Below are 20255 nucleotides of genomic sequence, written 5' to 3' on the forward strand. Positions count from 1 at the left end.
CATATCAACAGAAGCTTTTTTTTTTTTTTTTTTTTTTTTTTTGAGACAGGGTTTCACTTCCATTGCCCAGGCTGAATTGCAAGATTTCGGCTCACTGCAACCTCTGCCTCCCAGGCTCAGGTGATCCTCCCACCTCAGCCTCCTGAGTAGCTGGGACCACAGGTGCATGCCACCACACCCAGCGAATTTTTGTACTTTTTTGTAGAGACAGGATTTTGCCATGTTGCTCAGGCTGGTCTTGAACTCCTGAGCTCAAGTGCTCTGCCCACTTCAGCCTCCCAAAGTGCTGGGATTACAGGCATGAGCCACCATGCCCAACTAGAAGCTTTTTTTTTTTATGTTGCTATTAAGTGCTGGCTCTGATGTGCTACTAGCTCTGTAATTTGGGGTGTGTTAACCTCTCTGTGCCCCAGTTTTCTTATCTGCAAAATGAGGACAATACCAGTATCTATCCTACCGAGCTCCTGTAAGGATTTAATGAAATAGTGCAGGTAAAATGCTTTGCCAACAGCCACATTCAACAAATATTAGCAATTCATCTATTGCTAGCATGGACGAAGTTGAATTTTGCTTTTCAGCTAGGGTGAATAATCCAATGTTGAACACCTCTGTGTCTAGAGCCTCATCCATAGAGAGGATTAATTTCTTTCAAGAGATTCCTGGACATGGAGTTGCTGAACCAAAGGGTATAGGCCTTTTTTCTTTCTTTCTTTTTCTTTCTTTTTTTTTAAGACAATCTTCCTCTGTCACCCAGGCTGGAGTGCAATGGTGCGATCTCGGCTCATTACAACCTCTGCCTCCCGGGTTCAAGTGATTCTCCTGCCTCAGCCTCCTGAGTAGCTGGGACTACAGGCGCCTGCCACCACACCCAGCTGATTTTGCATTTTTAGTAGAGACGGGGTTTCACCATGTTGGTGAGGCTGGTCTCGAACTCCTGACCTCAAGCGATCTGCCTACCTCAGCCCCTCGAAGTGCTGGGATTATAGGCATGAGCCAGCATGCCTGGCCTTTTTTATTTTTATGGTTTTTTTTGTAGAGAGATGGTCTCACTAAGCTCTCCGGGGTGGTCTCTAGCGGTCCCCTCACCTTGCCCTCCCAAAGTGCTGGGATTATGCGTGAGAGCCACGGCTACTGGTCCCAGGCCTTTCTAAAGTTCTTGATATAGATTGCCATCAACACTCCTGCAGGAGAAGAAGACTCCTGGCGTTAAGTGTAACTCTGTCTTCTGAGTACAGGGCATTGAGTCTCTCTCCCTGACTCCAGCACACACAACGTTAGTGGATGTGAATTCAGACGGCTTCTCTCTCGGAACACGCCTGCCTAAGAGTTTGATAAGACATCTTGGCATCACAGCCGCCTGTTGGAATAACCCTGAGACCTCAGTTTCACTCTCTGTGAAACCTGGTCAAAGATCTTGCTCAAGGTGTGGCAAAGAGTAATCAATAACTAATGGCTGGGGCTGACTTTTGTTCTCCTGGTCATAAAAGACCTTTGAATTGCTTGGCCACTTTGGGTTTCTCAGGAAAAGTGATAACACTAAGCCAAAGTTCATCCCAGTTGGCCAGGCTGCCTCTCTCCAGCACCCACAAGGCTGGAGGGAGAGAGGGAATGACCACCGTCCCATGAGTGTTGGGCTGGGTTCACTGGGGTTAGGGTCACCAAGGGTAGGAGCCATTTCCCCATTGACCCACCTATGCATCACACCACAGAAATATCCCGGTGCTCTGTTTATCTCCCACCCCTCCCCCGACACAGCGGAAGGACGTAAGTTTTCACGCATAGTGGACAGAGGACTTAGACCGAATGAGGTGAGGCTTGGTCAGCCCTGATATGAGAAACACAGATCAAAACCAGACTTATCCCTCTGCTATCATCACCCAGCCACCCAACACCACTTCCCAGAATGACTCAATCGACATTTCCTGTACCCGAGCCTGGGATCTCCATTTTATTAAGCTTTCCGGAAGATGTTATCATCTAGCAAGTTTTTGAAGGAAGCATAGGACTATGCCTATCCCAGTGGTGTCTGCCCAGGTCTCCTCTGTGCTCAAACACCATGCAAGGCTTCCTCACTCCAGCCGGAAGCCTCAGCGCTTAGTGTGGTATTCTAGGCTTCAGTTCACCTGTACAGACCATCTCCCAGCTCTCCCTCACTCACTACCCACTGCAGCTACTCTGGGGTTCCTGGTGCTTGAATATGCTGTGGGCCTTTAGGAAGAGCAACCTTGCTCTTGTTATGCTGTTAACTTAATGAAATCCTCTCCAACATTTAAGGCCCAGCTCTGATGCTCCAACTCTAGAAGCCTCCCTTGATCCAGCCCTATCTAGAAGTGACCCCCTCAACTTTCCTCTGAGCTCCAATAGACTCTCCTCGTCTGGGCCCGCACGTAACTCTGGTCACTTTCCACCTTATTTTACAGATGTTGGTTGGCCTCATCTCCCCAAGCTGTCTAGAAGCTGCTTAAGGGCAGGCCCCACAACTGGTTGGTTCATCTCTATGTCCGCAGTGCAAAACGTCGCATCTCTTAAGGCAATTAGTAAGTGTGCTGTAATGAATTAATTCATGTCCACCATGACAAAGAGATACTGGTCCGAAACGTGAATTAAGTAGAGATAGCTTTATCTCTTCCTTTCCATTCTGGGTGCCTTTTATTTTATTTTCTTGCCTAATTGCCCCGGCAGGAAACTCAAGTACAATGTTGAATAGAAAAGGGGGGAATAGGTATCATCTTGTTCCTGGTCTTGGGGGAAGCACTTGGTCTTTCACCATTGAGTATGATTTAGTTGTGGGCTTTTTATAGATGCCCTCTACTAGGTTAAGGATATTCCCTTCTATTCCTATTTTGTTGAGTTTTATTATTATTATTATGAAGAAGTGTTGAATTTTGTCAAATGCTTTTTCCGCGTCTATTGAAATGATCATGTGGTTTTTGTCCTTTATTGTATTGACAAAGTGTATTACATTAATTGACATTTCAGATGTTAATCTTGCATTTCTGGGACATTTACCAGTTGGTCATGGTGTCTAATTCTTCTGATAAATTGCTGTGTTCTGCTTACTAGTATTTTGTTGAGATTTTTCTGTCTACATTCATAAATGAAATTGATCTGTGCTTTTTGTGTGATGTTTTGGTCTGATTTTTGTATCATAGTAATACTGGCTTCACAGGATAAGGTGGGAAGTGTTTCCTCCTCTTCTATTTTTTGGAAGTTTGTGAGGAATTCTTCAAAAATTTGGTAGAATGTACTAGTGAATTCTGGTCCTGGTCTTTTCTCTGTGGGTAGTTTTTTGATTACTAATTCCGTCTTTTTACTTGTTTCAAGTCATTCAGATGTTCTATTTCTTCCTGAAACAGTTTTACTACTTTATGGCTTTCCAGGAATTTGTCCATTTCATGTAAATTATCTAACTTGTTGGCATACAGTTGTTTATAGTAATCCTTTATAATCCATTTTATTTATATAAGGTCTGTAATAATCCCCCCTTTTTCATTCCTGATTTTAACAATTTGAATCTTCTCTCTTTTTTTCTTGATCCATCTAGATTAAGGTTTGTCAATTTTGTTAATCTTGTTGAATAACCAACTTTTAATTTCCTTGATTTTCTTGATATTTTTCTATCATCTATTTCATTAATTTTGGCTCTAAACTTTATTATTTCATTTCTTCTGCTTGTTCTAGGTTTAGTTTACTCTGCTTTTTTTCCAGTCTTAAGATTATTGATTAGAGATCTTTCTTCTTTTTTGTAATGTAGGTGTAAATTTCCCTCTAAGCACTGATTTGGCTGTATCCCAAGTGTTTTGATATATTTTGTCTTCATTTTTATTCATTGAAAAGATTTTCCTAATTTGCCTTGGAATTTTTTTTAATTCAATGATTCTTTAGGAGTGTGTTGTTTAATTTCCACATATTTGTGAATTTCCCAAATTTATTTCTGTCATTGATTTCTAATTTCACTCCATTGTTATTAGAGAACATACTATATATGATTTCAATCCTTTCAAATTTATTCAAATTTGTTTTATGACCTAGTATATGGTCTATCCTAGAGAAAGTTTCATGTACATTAGATGAGAATGTATACTATACTTTTGTTGATTGGAGTGGTCTGTAGATGTTTTTGAGGTCTAGCAGGTTTATAGTGGTGTTCAAAACTTCTGTTTCCTTGTTAATCTTCTGTGCCTCATAATTTTGTCTCTTCAATGCATTAGAAAATAAATGCTCCTTTCTTGTTTATTTATTTATTTTTATAGAGATTAGGGGGTATCACTATGTTGCCCAGGCTGGTCTCAAATTCCTGGGCTCAAAGTGATCCACCTGTCTGGGCCTCCCCAAATGCTGGGATTACAAGCGTGAGCCACTGTGCCCAGCCAATACATCTTTACAGATTAATTTGCTTGTTCCTTAGAGGTTTAGTTTTGGAGTCCTAACTATCGAGTTTGACTATCTAGACAAATGTAATTCTTCTTATAAGAACAAACTCTGTACTCCTCTGAGCTCTGGATGAATCTAACATATGAAATATTGGTTAAGGCTTGGAATGTAAAATCTTGGTGAAGAAGGGCTTTCTTACCTGATCCTCTTAGGGACATGTGATTCTTGAAGTGTGGTTCTAGATAAACCAGCCCTGAATCTGCTATTCAACCAAGCTGATGTTTTCTTCCTTCTCTCCTTTTCTCCTTGTTTCCTCCTTCTTTCTTCTCTCTTCTTCCCTCCTTCCCATACTTTTACTATCCTTTTTCCATCCAATCATTTATTTATACTTTTCTTCCTTTGTATCCATTCATTTGTCCTTTCCTTCTTCCTTCCTTCTTTCCTTTCTTCCCTTCTTCCTTGCTTCTTTTCTTCCTTCCTTTTTTTAATTCAGTTATTCATCCTATTCTCCATCCTTTCATCCATCTGTCCTTCTTTACTTCCGTCTATCTGTTCACCTTCCCTTACCTCCTCTCTTCTCTCACTGCCTTCTTTCATTTCTTTCCACTCTCCCTCCCTTCCTCCCATCTATCCACTCATCCATCCATTTTTAGCAATAAAGCACCAGACAGGACTCAAACTACCTGAAATAGCTGAGCTCGAAGTAGGTGTGGTGGTGGTGCTGGGGTGAAGGCCCCTGATTTCTAATTCTCATTTTCCTTCCAAGAATCTACAAAGTGCCTAATGGTGCTGCTTCACTCACAGACTTTTATAAAATACCTGTTGTGAGCCAGGCATAGTTCCTCGCACTGGGAATGAGTAAGGTCTAGTTGCTACTCCCAGGGACAGAGAATAACAGTACAGCCTGGAAAAACTGCAGTATGGCGGCCTCAAAGGCTGAGGAATAGGAACCTTCAGGGGGGCATTTGGAGAGGTTTTCTTGGAGAAATAGGTTTTTGGTCGAGCCTTGAATTATGAGCATTTATGTGAGAATCAAATGTAATAGCACATGAGATTATAAAATGTAAAAATGTCACAGAGAGGGAGTGACATTTATTGTTGAGACTTATGGTAAAAACCGCTTAAAGTAATAACAACTGGCCTGCATAGAAAAGGTATTTGTTAGAAGCATTAACAAATTCCTATGCAGTTTTTAAGACTGTAAGACAAATGTGCTGCTGGTGGAATCAGACACTCACAGAGTAGTGAGGCAGGGTAGAGGAGTACTTCAGAGCATGGGCTTTGGTATCAGACCCACCTGGCTCCAAGCCCTTCTGTCACTTGCTGTCCATGTGCTCATCTGTGGAATGGGGATGACAGTATAAGAGGATTAAATGGGATGGTACAGGTGGGGGTTGGTGGCACACAGTGAATGCTCTGTCAACGCCAGCTGCTACTGTTCATGAGAAAGGGGCTCAAAGGTCATCTGACTCCAGGTGGTATGGATTCATGTTTTCCTCCTGAAAAGGTGCTTTTTATCTGCTACCAAATAACCAAATATGTAATCTTGGGGAAATTACTTGTTTTTTCTTAGCCCTTCCTTGCCTTTTTTTTTTCAGTAAAATCTCTCAAGATCATAATGAGAAAAGCAAGATCTGGCTGGGCACGGTGGCTCATGCCTGTAATCCCAGCACTTTGGGAGGCCGAGGTGGGTGGATCACCAGAGGTCAGGAGGTCTAGACTAGCCTGGCCAACATGGTGAAACCCCATCTCTACTAAAAATACAAAAATTAGCTGGACCTGGTGTCCCACACCTGTAGTCCCAGCTACTTGGGAGTCTGAGGCAGGAGAATCGCTTGAACCCGGGAGGCAGAGGTTGCAGTGAGTTGAGATTGCACCACTGCACTCCAGCCTGGGCAACAGAGCGAGACTCAGTCTCAAAAACAATAAAAAGAAAGATCTGTTAAGGGAAAAGATATTTGAAAATTGAAAATTGCAAGCCAAAGATGTTCACCTCAGTATTGTTTATCATGGAGATGTAGGGAAATGGAAAAAGCATAGATAGACATCCCAAAATAGGGGACTATTAAATAAATTATGAAACTTCCTTCAGTGGAATCACAAGCAATGAAGAATTAGGTCCATGAAAGCCAAGGTTTTCTCCTTTTGTTGAATGGGGAACCCCTCAGCACCCAAAACAATGCTCGTCATATGGTAGGTGCTCAGTATTTATCAAAGAAACGAATGAACAAAGAAAAATTAACTGCCAAGAGGCATCCACCTGGCTGTTGTTTTGGTGCATGGGGTAGAAAAGTGGACTAGAAGAGCTAGGGTTGAGAGACTAAGGAGAGAGCAAGAAAGTTAAACTATCAAGAGCTGTCAAGTGGGATGTTTGAGGGTGTTTGTTGGATGCTGGGCTGTATGACTGTCTCCTCCATGTCCCACAAAGTCTTCAGTAAAATATACAGTGTCTGGCAGTGTTTTTGGAATTGCATGTGTGTTTTTAGGAGGTGAAATGAAATATAGAAGACTGGCTTCAATTGGAGAATACCATGGGCATCCAGTCACATCTGAGTATGATAATGTAGAAGAGTTTAATGACGTGGAAAGATGCTCACAATATATTGTTAAGGAAAATAATTGGGTACAGAAGGGGATGGGTAATTGCATCCCATTTTGGTTAAAATAGAAAAACATCTGCTCATGTCTGGATGGTGAGTTGAAGAAATATTTTTTCCTTTTTGTGAATTCATGCTTTAAACTTTTCTTTAATCAATATGTACTGCTTGTGAACTTGAAAATAACGTGAACTGTTGGATGAGCTTGAGCTGTCCTTATTGCATTTGACTGGTTGGTAAAGAAATTGAGCTAGGGTCAAGTGTCATTGTCAAGATCAAGCCAAGACTGAGTGGCCCATCAATTTATGGCCAGTTCAGTGACGTTTCTACTGGATTAGAAGGAAACAAGTAGTGTTTTCAGTGCCTTGGACCCCCAGCATCTGAAAGATCTGAAAGACTGGGCCATTCCTTCTTCCACTACCTCCCTTTTGCTAGAGTCCAGAGAACGATCATTGTCCAGGAGACTATCAATGGTTATAAGTATATTCCCTCTTCTCCATTTCAAAGGACACTCACTAGGTTTTCTTTTGTACTTCAGGTCAGTAACATGACCCTTGGGATCCTCTGGGAAGAGAATCATGTTAGCAGGATGGGCTGTGAAGCCTCCTGCAGATTAAGCCAGTTATAATCTGTGACTCATATCTGTAGATAGCAATTTTCTTACAGGTGTTTGTTGAGTGATAGGGACATACAGAGAGACAAGAGATAGAGGGGCAGCCCAGGTAACATACCAAAAAGCATAACTGTATAACCTGGAACTGAAAGAGACCTTTGACATCACCTAACTTGTGGCTGGGTGATCTGGGAAACAGGCTTGGGTTGTACAGCCAGGGCCAGAATGAGGTGGTTTTGCTTCCTAAACATCTCTCCATTTCATCCTTTCCTGCTCCTTCTCCCTACTCTGGCCTGCAGGGACGCCACAGCACTTCCCTAGCTGATCTTCTTTCAATCCAGAGCTATGTCACTAAAGGTTCTTTGAGCTTATGTTGAGGAATCTGGACTTAAATCTGGGGCAAGGAGACACCATGGAAGAATTTTTAGGCAGGAGCACAATGGGGTCATATCTGGATTTCAGGTGGCCACAGAAACCCTTTGTTTGTTGTGTACAGAATGGACCCAAGGCAGTTAGAGTAGACTCAGGGAGAGCAGTGAGGAGGCTGCTGTAATTGTCCAGGTGAGAGGAGGTGACAGCCTGGACCAGGGCTGTGGCAGTGGAGGTAAGTGGGTGGTCTCCCTGACTCCTCAAGCCTCTCATTGACCTCCACCTTTGGTGCTTATAGTCAGTATCCCCCAGTTTAATACCTAGTTCTGGGCTTCTATTGGTTAGGATATTTCAGATGTGATTGCATAGAAACCCACCTCAAACCAGCTTAACTCAGCATCATTGAGCCATGTCAGGCACATGATAGGTGTTTAGTAAACAATGAACCAGTAAATGAATGAATGACTTAATGAATGACTCTTGACTCCTGGACCATTGTTCTTTCTACTGTGCATAATACTGACTTTAAGCCTAAATTCCATAACCCTAAATTCCATAACCTCTAAAGACCATCTATTCTGGGCTTGCGCCCAACTCAGGAATGCCCCCTACAACATGCTTGACAGATACCCGTTTGGCTTGTCTTTGGAATTTTCCAAGGACAGAATATTCACTACCTCAAAAAGCCATTCAGATGAAAGAGTAAATAGATATATATATTTTTTGAAATATATAAATAAAGCTTTTGAAATAAAGCTTTTGAAAGCTTTATTGAAGTATAATTTACATATACCCATTTAAATATAAAGTTCAATGAGTTTGACAAACATATACAGTCCTGTAACTACCACTGCAAAGCCATTTTAGAATATTTCCATCATAGAGCTGAGCATGATAGTTTGCACCTGTAATCTCAGCTACTCAGGAGGCTGAGGATTGCTTGGACCCAGGAGGCTGAAGATTGCTTGGACCCAGGAGTTGGAGGCTGTAGTGAGCTATGATTGTGTCACTGCACTCCAGCCTGGACAACAGAGCAAGACCCTGTCTAACATTTCCATTGTGCCACAAAGTTTGTTTATATTCCCTTGCAGTTCGTCTGTTCTGTCCACTCCTGGTCTCTACTTTCTGTCCTTTTAATTTTGTGTTTTCTAAAACTTCATTTGAATGGAATCATTACTATGTGGTCTTGAATCGGGAATAGTTTACTTAGTATAATGTATTTGAGATTCATCTACGCTGTTGTGTCGGTAGTTTGTTCCCTTTTATTGCTGAGTAGTATTCCAATAAATGGGCATATCACAATTTGCTGATTCATTCACCAGTTGAAGGACATTTGTGTTGTTTCCAGTTTTGGCTATTGTTAACTGAGCTACTGTGAAAATTCACATATACATCCTTGAGTGGACATATTTTTTTCGTTTATCTTATATAAATACCTAGGGTGGGATTTCCGGGTACTATAAAAGATATATGTTTAATTTTATTAGGAAAAAACTGCCGAACTATTTTCCAAAGTGGTTATACCATTTTGCATTCCTGGCAATATGGTATGAGAGTTCCAGTTGTTCCACAACATCATAAGCACTTGGTATTGTCAGTTTTAACATTTTAGTCACCATAGGGAATGCGTAGTGCTTTCATATTGTGATTTTCTCATATATTCCCTTAATGACTAATGATATAGAGCATTTTCCATGTGCTTATTTGCTATTCCAACAAAATAGGTGTAACTTTAAGGCAATTCTTTCTGCTCTTAGAAATCTCCAAACTCTCTCTATTGATTCAATTCAGTTTAACAAATATTTACAGATGACTTACTCTATGTCATTTACTGCGAGGTCTGATGAGCCCAAGACGATTAAGATCCATCCCTGATCTTGATTTGTTTAGAGTCTCATGGGGGGAAACATACTTAAAAGAGAAACATTTCTCTTTAAAACTGTTAGTGGATTCATAGAGGTAAGCCCAGGACACAGGGAAAAACTGAGGAAGAGTACTCTACCCAGTCAACGGTGCTGGCAGGCGGTAGGGTGTGAGGAATGTTCACAGGAACGTCCACCCTGGCTCTGAACTGTGGCATCACAGAGGTACGGACTTGTTATCATTCATTCGTCACATACTCAATGAGCACCTAACGTGGACCAGATGCTGTGCTGGCCTGGGGAGGATGGGTATAAACCAGACAGACATTGTCCCTGTCTCAAGGATCTTACAAAGTGAGAACAAAAGTTCATTTCCTTTCCTTGTGGAAACATATTTTAAAAAAACTACCTAACTACTTATTATATATATAAAAAAAACCCTACCTATCAAAGAATTGCTAAGTGATTAGAAAACATAAAAACAGATTTATGCTAATTGTATGTTATATAATTTTACAGGGATGATTCATTATAATGTCTTTTATTTAAGACATAGGTATTTATTCAGTGCTCAGCTCCTTCACATGGATTATCTCACTGGGTCTACATGATCAATGAGAGAGATTAGATTGCTACCGTCTGAAACTGAGAGTCAGAGAGCTAAAAAAACTGGCCCAAAGGCACTCAAAAGTAGAACCAGTCTTTGAAGCAAAATCTTGGGACTTTAAGTTCAAATGCTACTTTGAATAATATCTGTACCATTGGCATATTTTTAGTACAATTTGAGGACTGAAGTACTAACTCTAAAATTACTAATTAAAATTAAGGTCCAAGGGATTATGGTTTGTGTTATTTTCCAAATATCTATCCAAATCCCCCATTGAGCCTATGAGGATATGGGGGTCCAGTGGGAATAGCCACATAGAGAGTCACAATCCAAGTCCAGGCCTCCTGACTCCATGCTGTTGCTTTGTGAGAGTGCTACCTCTCAGTGCTAACTTGTATGATCACTCCTGTTTATTTAGTCCATAGGCATTTGGAGCAGATGTGCTGCTGGAGGCAAAAAAGTGAGGAATGGTGGGAAGAGAGACTAGAGAGACCTGGGTTCAAATCTCAGCTCTGCTAGTCTCAAGCTGAATGATTTGGCAAGTAGCTTAACTTTTTCTTTTCTTTTCTTTTCTTTTCTTTCTTTTTTTCGTTCTTTCCTTTTCTTTTTCTTTCTTTTCTTTCTCTCTTTCTTTCTTTCCTCCTTCTTTCTTTCTTTTTTTTTCACGGGGTCTCACTATGTTGCCCAGGCTGGAGTGCAGCGGTGCAATCTCAGCTCACTGCAACCTCCACCTTCCAGGCTCAAGCAATCCTCCCACCTCAGCCCTCAAATAGCTGGTACCACAGGCACATGCCACCACACCCGGCTAATTTTTGTATTTGTTTTTGTAGAGATGGGGTTTTGCTATGTTGCCCAGGATGGTGGTCTCGAACTCCTGGGTTCAAGTGATCTGTCCGCTTCAGCCTCCCAAAGTGTTAGGATTACAGGCATGAGCCACCACATCCAGCCTCAGCTTAATTTTTCTGAGTCTCAGCTTCCTGGTCTGTGAAATGGGGCTAATAACAGCACTGACACCTTAAAGCTGCTGGAAGGCATCAAAGAAGAAATGTGTAGGAAGCCCTCCCCTTGAGCTCTGGATTTTGAATAGGTAAAGGAATGCAAACACTTAGCTCCCTGCTGGGCCTATAATAGCACTCGATAAATTACACAATGACCAGCTTTTCTATTTAATAATTGCACTAAAATTATTTTTTATGAAGATCAAATTAAAGGAAATTTGAATAGAGAACATTTTTACTCAAACCTAAATTCAAAGACACTGTTTTTATCTCTCCATGTTTTTTCAAAACTTTATCCCCATTTGGGAATTGCACTAAAATGATTTATTATTAAAAATCTGACACCAACATTAAGGAAAGCCCAAGAGTACATTTTTATTTTAAGTCCACCACTCAAATGTGCTAACAGTTTTAATTTTCCACATTTCATTCCAACATTTATCCAGAGATTTTTTTTATATTGTTGGAATCAGAATGATTCTCTTTGTGTCATTCTTTTTAAAAAAATTTTTTTCATTATTTAATTTTATTTCAGATTATGTAATGAATTACGTTCATATGTAAACCTTATGCTTATGATTTCTTATGGTTCCATAGAATTCTACTCAGTAGAATCTAGCCAGTAACATGGAACTCAACTCTTGCAGGAAATATTATATTATCATGTCACCTTATATATTCCACAAAATCACTAAATGTTTACTATTTAGCCTTTGAGCATCATGACAATCCTGTAAGTACTAAACAATTCCATTTTACAGATAAGGAAACTGAGGCTCAGGTTATTTTAATAAGTTGCCAAAATTCATACAGCTAATGTCTAGTGTTCATGTTATCTACTACTACAACGAATTACCTCAAGATGTAGTGGCTTAAAGCAACAACATCCATTTATTTGTTCTTAATTCTGCAATTTGGGCAGGGCTTGGTGGGGCTGGTTCATCTCTGTTCCACATGGTACTGACGAGAGTGGCTTCAGTGGAACTGGAAGATCCAAGATGAGTTCATTCAGGTGCCTGGTGTCTCAGCTGAGGAGGCCGAAATGGCAGGGGGCTGGTTGGGTTTCTCTCCCTTTGTGGTCTCTAATCTTCTAGGGGCTCTTTCTTTCTTTCTCTCCACGTGGTCTGTCCAGCAGATTAGCTGGGCTTCTTTCCATGATGGCTGGCTTCCTAGAGGGCAAAAACAGAAGCTCCCAGGTGTCTTAAGAACTAGCCCCAGAAATGGCACCGTGTCATTTCTGTTACATTCTCTTGGTCAAAACAAGTCACAAGGCCAGCCCAAAGTCAAGGAGAGGGAAACAGACCCTACCCTTGATGCTTGGAGGCATAGTGTGCATGAGGATGGGCTGGACTGTTGGCCATCATCTTTACAGTGATAGAGCAGGGCTTCAAACACAGGCCTGTCTTCCTCCAGGCTCCAAACTCAGCTCCCGCCCCCATACCCCCTCAATGAATGTTTTTGTCTGGCTAGCTTTTTCTCTTCCTTTCACTCATTTTTAGGGTAAATTCCCAAGGACAGGGAGACTTGGTCAAAGGGCAGACAATGTTGAGCTCTATGCTGAGATAAATCAACTTTTGCATAACAAAGTAATCTCATGAGCTTTAAGTATGTGACTAAAAACTTTTTTTTCCCCACCTCCTTTTTCTTCACAAAGGAGACCAGGTTTATTTTTGTTCATTCTATTGTTTCACCTATTTTGACAGAGGAAATCTTGGTTCCTGCTGTGGAGAACATCCTCAGGACTTCCAGGCAACAACAAAGTCAGCAAAGAGCTGTGACATTCACCTGCTCCTGAGCTATGCAGGATGGTGTTCCCTGTGGATCGGGGCATGCGGGAAAACTCACTGGCTGACCTTGACTTTTCACAGAACTTGGGATGTCATGAAACGAACATGACTTAGACTTGCCCGAGTTTAGACCTCCTTCTGAAGTGTAACCCTGTGCGTCTTTGTTTACTGTCTCAGTTTATGCCTGTTGTCACGTGTCCTGTCCAGTTTAGTATTTGTCCAGGGCAAAAGTTTTCCAATTTGGGCAATAAATTATATGATCACCCTTCCTGCCGCAGGAGCTTGGGCAAGACATTTCTCCTCCCTGAGCCTCAGTTTCCTCATCTGTACAGTGGGCCTGGCTACCTATTTCACAGAAATATGGATCCCTTTTCACTTAATAGCATCCTTCCATGTGGCAGAAACTGTCTTGGACTCTGGAGGATCCAGGGGGTAACAAAACGTGGTTCCTGCTCTGCTAGTAAACAAGCAAGATAATTTCAGAAATTTGATTTATATCAGGAAGTCAGGAAGGGCCTCTCTGAGGAGGTGGAATTTGAGATAAGGGATGAGGAATGAGAGCAGGCCACAAAGGGAGCTGAGGGAAGAACATGCCAGGTTAAGGGAACAGCAGTGCAAAGGCCATGGGGCAAGAGATAACTGGCCAGAGGGAACGGAATGGAGCTCAGGAGCAGGTCGTGTTCTATAAACTGCGAAGAGCCCCAGCAGTTATTTTCCTCCTAGAGGGTTTTAAAATACTCTCCCATCCTTTAACTGAAATGATTCTCAAAATAACTCCAAAAAGGCAGGGCAGGGCAGAGGTTTTTTTTTTCTTTTAATTTTAATTTTTTTTTTTTTTTAGACAGAGTCTTGCTCTGTCGCCCAGGCTGGAGTGCAGTGGCACGATCTCTGCTCACTGCAACCTCCACCTCCCAGCTTCAAGCAATTCTTGTGCCTCAGCCTCCTGAGTAGCTGGCACCACAGGTGTGCACCACCACACCCGGCTAATTTTTTTTTTTTTAGATGGAGCCTCACTCTGTCACCAAGCTGGAGTGCAGTGGTGCGATCTCGGCTCACTGCAACCTCCGCCTACTGAGTTCAAGCAATTCTCCTGCCTTAGCCTCCCTAGTAGCTGGGATTACAGGCGCCCGCCACCACACTCAGCTAATTTTTTGTATTTTTAGTGGAGATGGGGTTTCACTATATTGGCCGGGCTGGTCTCAAACTCCTGACCTCAGGCGATCCACCCGTCTCAGCCTTCCAAAGTGCTAGGATTACAGGCGTGAGCCACCACACCCGGCCACGCCTGGCTAATTTTTGTATTCTTAGTAGAGATGGGGTTTCACCATGTTGGACAGACTGGTCTTGAACTCCTGACCTCAGGTGATCCACCTGCCTCGACCTCCCAGAGTGTTGGGATTACAGGTGTGAGCCACTGCACCCAGCCTAATTTTAATTTTAAAATTCTAATTAGAGACGAGGTCTTGCTATGTTGCCCAGGCTAGTCTTGAACTCCTAGGCTCAAGCTATCCTCTTTCCTCAGCCTCCTGAAGTGCTGGAATTACATGCATGAGCCACAGTGCCTGACCCAAAGATGTATTATTATTATTATTGTTATTATTATTTTTTGAGAATGAGTCTCACTCTGTCACCCAGGCTGGAGTGCAGTGGCAAGATCTCGCGCTGCAACCTCCATCTCCCAGGTTCAAGCGATTCTCCTGCCTCAGCCTCCTGAGTAGCTGGGATTACAGGCACATGCCACCACGCGCAGCTAATTTTTGTATTTTTAGTAGAGACAAGGTTTCACCATATTGGTCAGGCTGGTCTCGAACTCCTGACCTCGTGATCCACCCGCCTCGGCCTCCCAAAGTGCTGGGATTATAGGCATGAGCCACCGTGCCTGGCCAAAGATGTATTATTAATCCTGCTTTACAGAACAAAAAATCCTTATGAGTTATCTTTGCAAATTTTTCCAAAATGGACCCACTATATTTCTATGCTTAAATTTAATCTGACGTATCTCCATGATCTTTTATTGTTTTTGATGATAGGAATCTTTCAGAAACCAGAGACATCTTTAGGCACATCTTCCCATTGTGATATTTAATTCGGTAGTTAAGTCCTCATGTGCACTGCTTTTGCATCTATATTCATAAGAGATATTGATCTGTAGTTTTCTTGTGATGACTTTGGTTTTAGTATCGAAGTAGTGCTGGCCTCACAGACTGAGGTGGGAAGTGTTCCCTCCTCTTCTATTTTTTTGGAAGATGTTGTGAGAATCGTATTAGTCCTTTTTCAAATGTTTGATAGAATTCACCAGTGGAGATATCTGGGTCTGGTCTTTTCTTTGTGGATAATTTTTTATTTCTAATTCGATCTCTTTACTTCTATTTCTTCTTGAATCAGTTTTAATAGTTTGCACCTTTCTAGGAGTTTGTTCATTTTATCTGCGTTTTCTAATTTATTGCCATTCAGTTGTTCATAGTTTCTCTCACAATCCTTTCTATTTCTGTAAGTGACTCCTCTTTTATTTTTTAATTTTATTTATTTTTTGGAGACGGAGTCTTGCTCTGTCACCCAGGCTGGAGTGCAGTGGCGCGATCTTTGCTCATTGCAAACTCCGCCTCCCGAGTTCACGCCATTCTCCTGCCTCAACCTCCTGAGTAGCTGGGACTACAGGCGCCTGCCACCACACCCGGCTAATTTTTGCATTTTTAGTAGGACCTCAGGTGATTGGCCTGCATCGGCCTCCCAAAGTGTTGGGATTACAGGTATGAGCCACCATGCCCGGCATTATTTCTTATTTTAGTAATATGAGTCATCTCTCTTTTTTTCTTGGTCAATCTAACTGAAGTTCTCTTAATTTATTTTGCTGATCTTTTCAAAGGACCAATTATTGGTTTTGTTGATTTTTCTCTATTGTTTTTCTAGTCTCTATTTTGTTGGTTTCTGTTAAAATTTGTATTATTTCTTCTTTTCTGCTTGCTTTTTCCAGTGTCTGGGTAGAGGGTTAGATTATTGATTCTAGATCTTTCTTCATATTTCTTCATTTTTAATATAGGCATTTAACATTCTAAATTTCCCTCTGTCATGTATACCAATGTTTAACTTTTGGACTATAGGGTCTCATTGTACCCTCCCCACTCACCCTGAAGAGGCTGGAGTAAAATAATCAGGCCTAGAGTCAGGGAGCCTTGGCCTGGTCCTGACACTGCTGCTCACTAAGTGACCTCTGATGAGTCCCTGCCCCTCTTGAGTCTTAGTTGTTGTCTGTCTGTAAAATGAAGAGGCTGACCATGGCATCTCCAGGAGTCTCCTAGTCAAACTAGCCTGGGGGACAGGCTCATGTCAGACTCATCTCTGTGTCCCTTTTGATTGGACATCTGTTGTTTCTGCCGCTCAGCACTCTCCTTTCCCTTTGGTAAGGCACCTGCTTTCCCTTTGGGGAGACACTCATTCCTCACCTTCTATTCAAAGTTTTTTTTTGTGCCATGGACCCCTCTGGCAGCCCATAGAAGCCCATGGACCCCTCCTCAGATTGATTTCTTATTTTTATTTTATTTTATTTTAATTTTTTTTGAGACGGTCTCGCTCTGTTGTCCAGGCTGGAGTGCAGTGGCGCGATCTTGGCTCACTGCAGTCTCCATCTCCCGGGTTCAAGTGATTCTCCTGACTCAGCCTCCCAAGTAGCTGGGACTACAGGCATGTGCCACCATGCCCAGCTAAGTTTTGTATTTTCAGTAGAGACAGGGTTTCACCATGTTGCCCAGGCTGGTCTCAAATTCCTGACCTCAGGTGATCTGCCTGCCTCAGCCTCCCAAAGTGCTGGGATCACAGGCATAAGCCACCATGCCCGGCCTCAGATTGATTTTTTAAATGGTATGACATATACTACATATGGTCTAAAGGAAGCCAATTGTATTGAAACAGTTATGAAATTATTAGGAAAACAAACTTTTGATATAGAAATATTTGTACTTCTTGATTAGCACAATAAAAACCAAGCCCTACTTGGCCTAATAACCAGTATAATTTCAAACTAGTGTTGAACATAAGTGATATTTTAAGATACCTGTGACAATTGTGATGTGATATGAAATATCTGTGATCTCTATTGGTGACAAAGTTATAGGTAATTTTTTTTAGACAAATTATTGTTCTATTGCCCAGGCTAGAGTGCAGGCGTGATTGTGGCTCACTGAAGCCTCGACCTCCTGGGCTCAAGCCATCCTCCCACCACAGCCTCCTGAGTAGCTGGGACTACTGTGCCTGGCTAATTTATTTTTTCTGTAGAGACGAAGTCTTACTATGTTGCCCAGGCCGGTAATTTTAATACTACCATGACTTGTTGGCTATATTTATAACAGAAAAGAAAATGCTAAATTTCAGTTGCAGATTAGTGAAAAGAGAGATGTATTTTTTTTTTCTCACCCAAATTAATGGTTCCTTACTAAGAAGCCCTGGTTTGGGGGGTTTATATCAAACTGCTTGACTCCTGGATTCAGAGGTAGCCATGTAACTCAATACTGGTCAATCAGCGCAGGGATTGGATAAGAGTTTTGAATCAAATGGATGAAATCAGAATTGGGCTAGGCACGGTGGCTCATGCTTGTAATCCCAGCAATTTGGAAGGCTGAGGCGGGCGAATCATGAGGTCAAGAGATCGAGACCATCCTGGCCAACATGGTAAAACCCTGTGTCTACTAAAAATACATAAATTAGCTGGGTGTGGTGGTGCGCGCCTGTAGTCCCAGCTACTTTGGAGGCTGAGGTAGGAGAATCGCTTGAACCCAGGAGGCAGAGGTTGCAGTGAGCCGAGATCGTGCCACGGCACTCCAGCCTGGTGACAGAGCAAGACTCCATCTCAAAAAAAAAAAAAAGGAAGAAAAAGAATTAATCCAGGGCTTTTGCTGGACAACTGGGAGAGTTTCTTCTGCGGGTCTTGCTAAGAGGTTTGGGTTTAGCCTGGAACATGTCACCTCGCTGTCACCAGGAAAGAACCTGACTCAGAATCAAGCCAACAGAGAGGAAAGCAGAGCTGAGAAATGAACATCCACATCTTCCTGATAACATCCCTCCCTTCAGTGTGTTAATTATGTAAGCCCATATATTATCTGTTAAAGCCGGTTTGGGTAGGGTTTTCTGCTCATTGCAAACAAAGGAGTCACAACTAGTACAGTCCCAGGAAGCTTGGCAGAGTGCCTGCCACAAAGTAGGTTGCCCATGAAGGAATGATGAATGAATTTCAAACAATGTAGCAACATGATTAATGTTATTCACTGAACTCATGTAGGTAGATCTGGCTCAATTGTGTATTAAAAGATGAAGACTCAAAGTAAGCATTCCATAGGCTTTTATTGTTTAAATGAATGAAAGAACTCATCCATTGTCATCATTTTATTAACAAACTATCCCCAGCTTTGCATATTCTTTAGTGATCCAATCAGGACCACACAACCAAATGGGGAATGCAAGTCTAGAATCACGATGGACTAATAGTTACAAATCAAGTTTGTGTCACACTCACATGGGGAAAACCATGCAGCAATGTAAAGGAAGAAGGTAGATCTATATGTACTGATATGGGAAGACCTCCAAGACACTCTAAGAAGGAAATTACAAAATAGTAATCACATTAAGATGCCATTCTCGGCCGGGCGCGGTGGCTCATGCCTGTAATCTCAGCACTTTGGGAGGCCAAGGGGGGTGGATTGTCTGAGGTCAGGAGTTCGAGACCAACCTGGCCAACATAGTGAAACCCCGTCTCTACTGAAAATATAAAAAGTTAGCTGGGCATGGTGGTGGGCGCCTGTAATCCCAGCTACTAGGGAGGCTGAGGCAGGAGAATCGCTTGAACCCAGGAGGCGGAGGTTGCAGTGAGCCCAGATTGTGCCACTGCACTCCAGCCTGGGCAACAAGAGTGAAACTCCGTCTCAAAAAAAAAAAAAAAAGCTGTTCTCATAAAAACAAAATCTCCCAAACAAAAACTTGAGTTCCTCTATGAACATAAATGAGTGTAAATCCAAGAAAAAGTCTAGAAGTCCACTCATGAAACACTCATAGTGGGTACCTCTAGCAAGGGAATGGTCACAGAGCCTTGTCCTTTCTCTGTTGTTTCCAATTTTTATACGAGGATAAAATAGTTGTGTTACTTGTGTACTTTAAAATAATTTCTAATTTTAAAATGAAATAATAAAACAACTCTGACAGAAGGGAGAATATTCCTTTTATGTTTCTCTCCCCCTCAGGTGTCTGTCCGAATTCTTGGGGAAGCTGAGGAAACCAGGGCTGTGACTGTAATATTCTGCTGTACCTATGATCTGTGCCCATGATGCTCTGCTGTATCCATGATGCTGTGCCCATGATGCCATGTCATGCTCTCTGTACCTTGCCATGCCTGTGACACTATGCCCTCTCCCTGGGATTCTGCAGTCTTCCTGGCTGCTCTAGAAGCCAGGGAGATTCCACCCCATGTAAAATGCTCCTGGGGTGGCCTGCTGACCTGGATTCTCCTCTCAACATCTTGAGCCCAACCACCTCTGCTGTCAAACTACACATGGCCCAGGTGACTTCTCTCACAAATGGGAGAGGGAATCAGAGCATTTCATAGTCAGAGCAGAGGCCCTGGGGAGATGCCCATCTGCAGCAGACTTGGGACAACTGATCCAATTCAAGTCCATCATTGTGCAGAGTGGGATTGTGAGCCTCAGAGTGGAGAGAAGATTCATCCAACTGTGGGTTCGGTGCCAGCCAGAGTGGGACTCCACCCTGACTCCCAGTTCAGAGCTCATTTTGGTGGGGGGTCCTGAAGTTCTACCATCATAGTTACCCCTTGCTTGGGTCTCCAAAATGTCCCTGTTCCAATGTATATCTGTTACTTAAATAACACATTTGCAACATAGCTATCAGAGGGGTTGGTTTTTATTTAGAAAGAAGCTAATAAGTTATATTTTATTTATTATAAAGACAAAATTGTAACAGCACAAATGAAAATATTATTAATAAAAGAAATTCTTTCTGCCACCCTAATCATGTTTCATTTGTTCACATTACTTAATGTCATTCTAAC

At 42.1% G+C, this 20255-nt stretch overlaps 1 long non-coding RNA gene across 1 annotated transcript, besides 2 other annotated features; it reads left to right on the plus strand.

Moving 5' to 3' along the window:
* Window positions 1-1592: 1592 nt before the first annotated feature.
* On the plus strand, window positions 1593-19827 carry LOC105378224 (uncharacterized). The gene is made up of 3 exons (XR_944405.3): window positions 1593-1808; window positions 2421-2537; window positions 19435-19827. It is a non-coding gene; the product is annotated as an uncharacterized LOC105378224 (long non-coding RNA).
* Window positions 11223-11858: an enhancer, noted in NCBI's record as "OCT4-NANOG hESC enhancer chr5:149092310-149092945 (GRCh37/hg19 assembly coordinates)". NCBI's record gives its function as "activates a minimal SCP1, AML or CMV promoter by ChIP-STARR-seq in naive H9 embryonic stem cells {active_cell/tissue: H9 hESC(naive)}" and the evidence as "EXISTENCE:reporter gene assay evidence [ECO:0000049][PMID:30033119]".
* Window positions 14773-15023: a silencer, noted in NCBI's record as "fragment chr5:149095860-149096110 (GRCh37/hg19 assembly coordinates)". NCBI's record gives its function as "represses an EF-1alpha promoter that drives an FKBP-Casp9 reporter gene in an ReSE screen in K562 erythroleukemia cells {active_cell/tissue: K562}" and the evidence as "EXISTENCE:reporter gene assay evidence [ECO:0000049][PMID:32094911]".
* Window positions 19828-20255: the final 428 nt, after the last annotated feature.

This window comes from Homo sapiens, chromosome 5 (assembly GCF_000001405.40).
Source record: "Homo sapiens chromosome 5, GRCh38.p14 Primary Assembly".
In the NCBI taxonomy this organism is placed as follows: domain Eukaryota; kingdom Metazoa; phylum Chordata; class Mammalia; order Primates; family Hominidae; genus Homo; species Homo sapiens.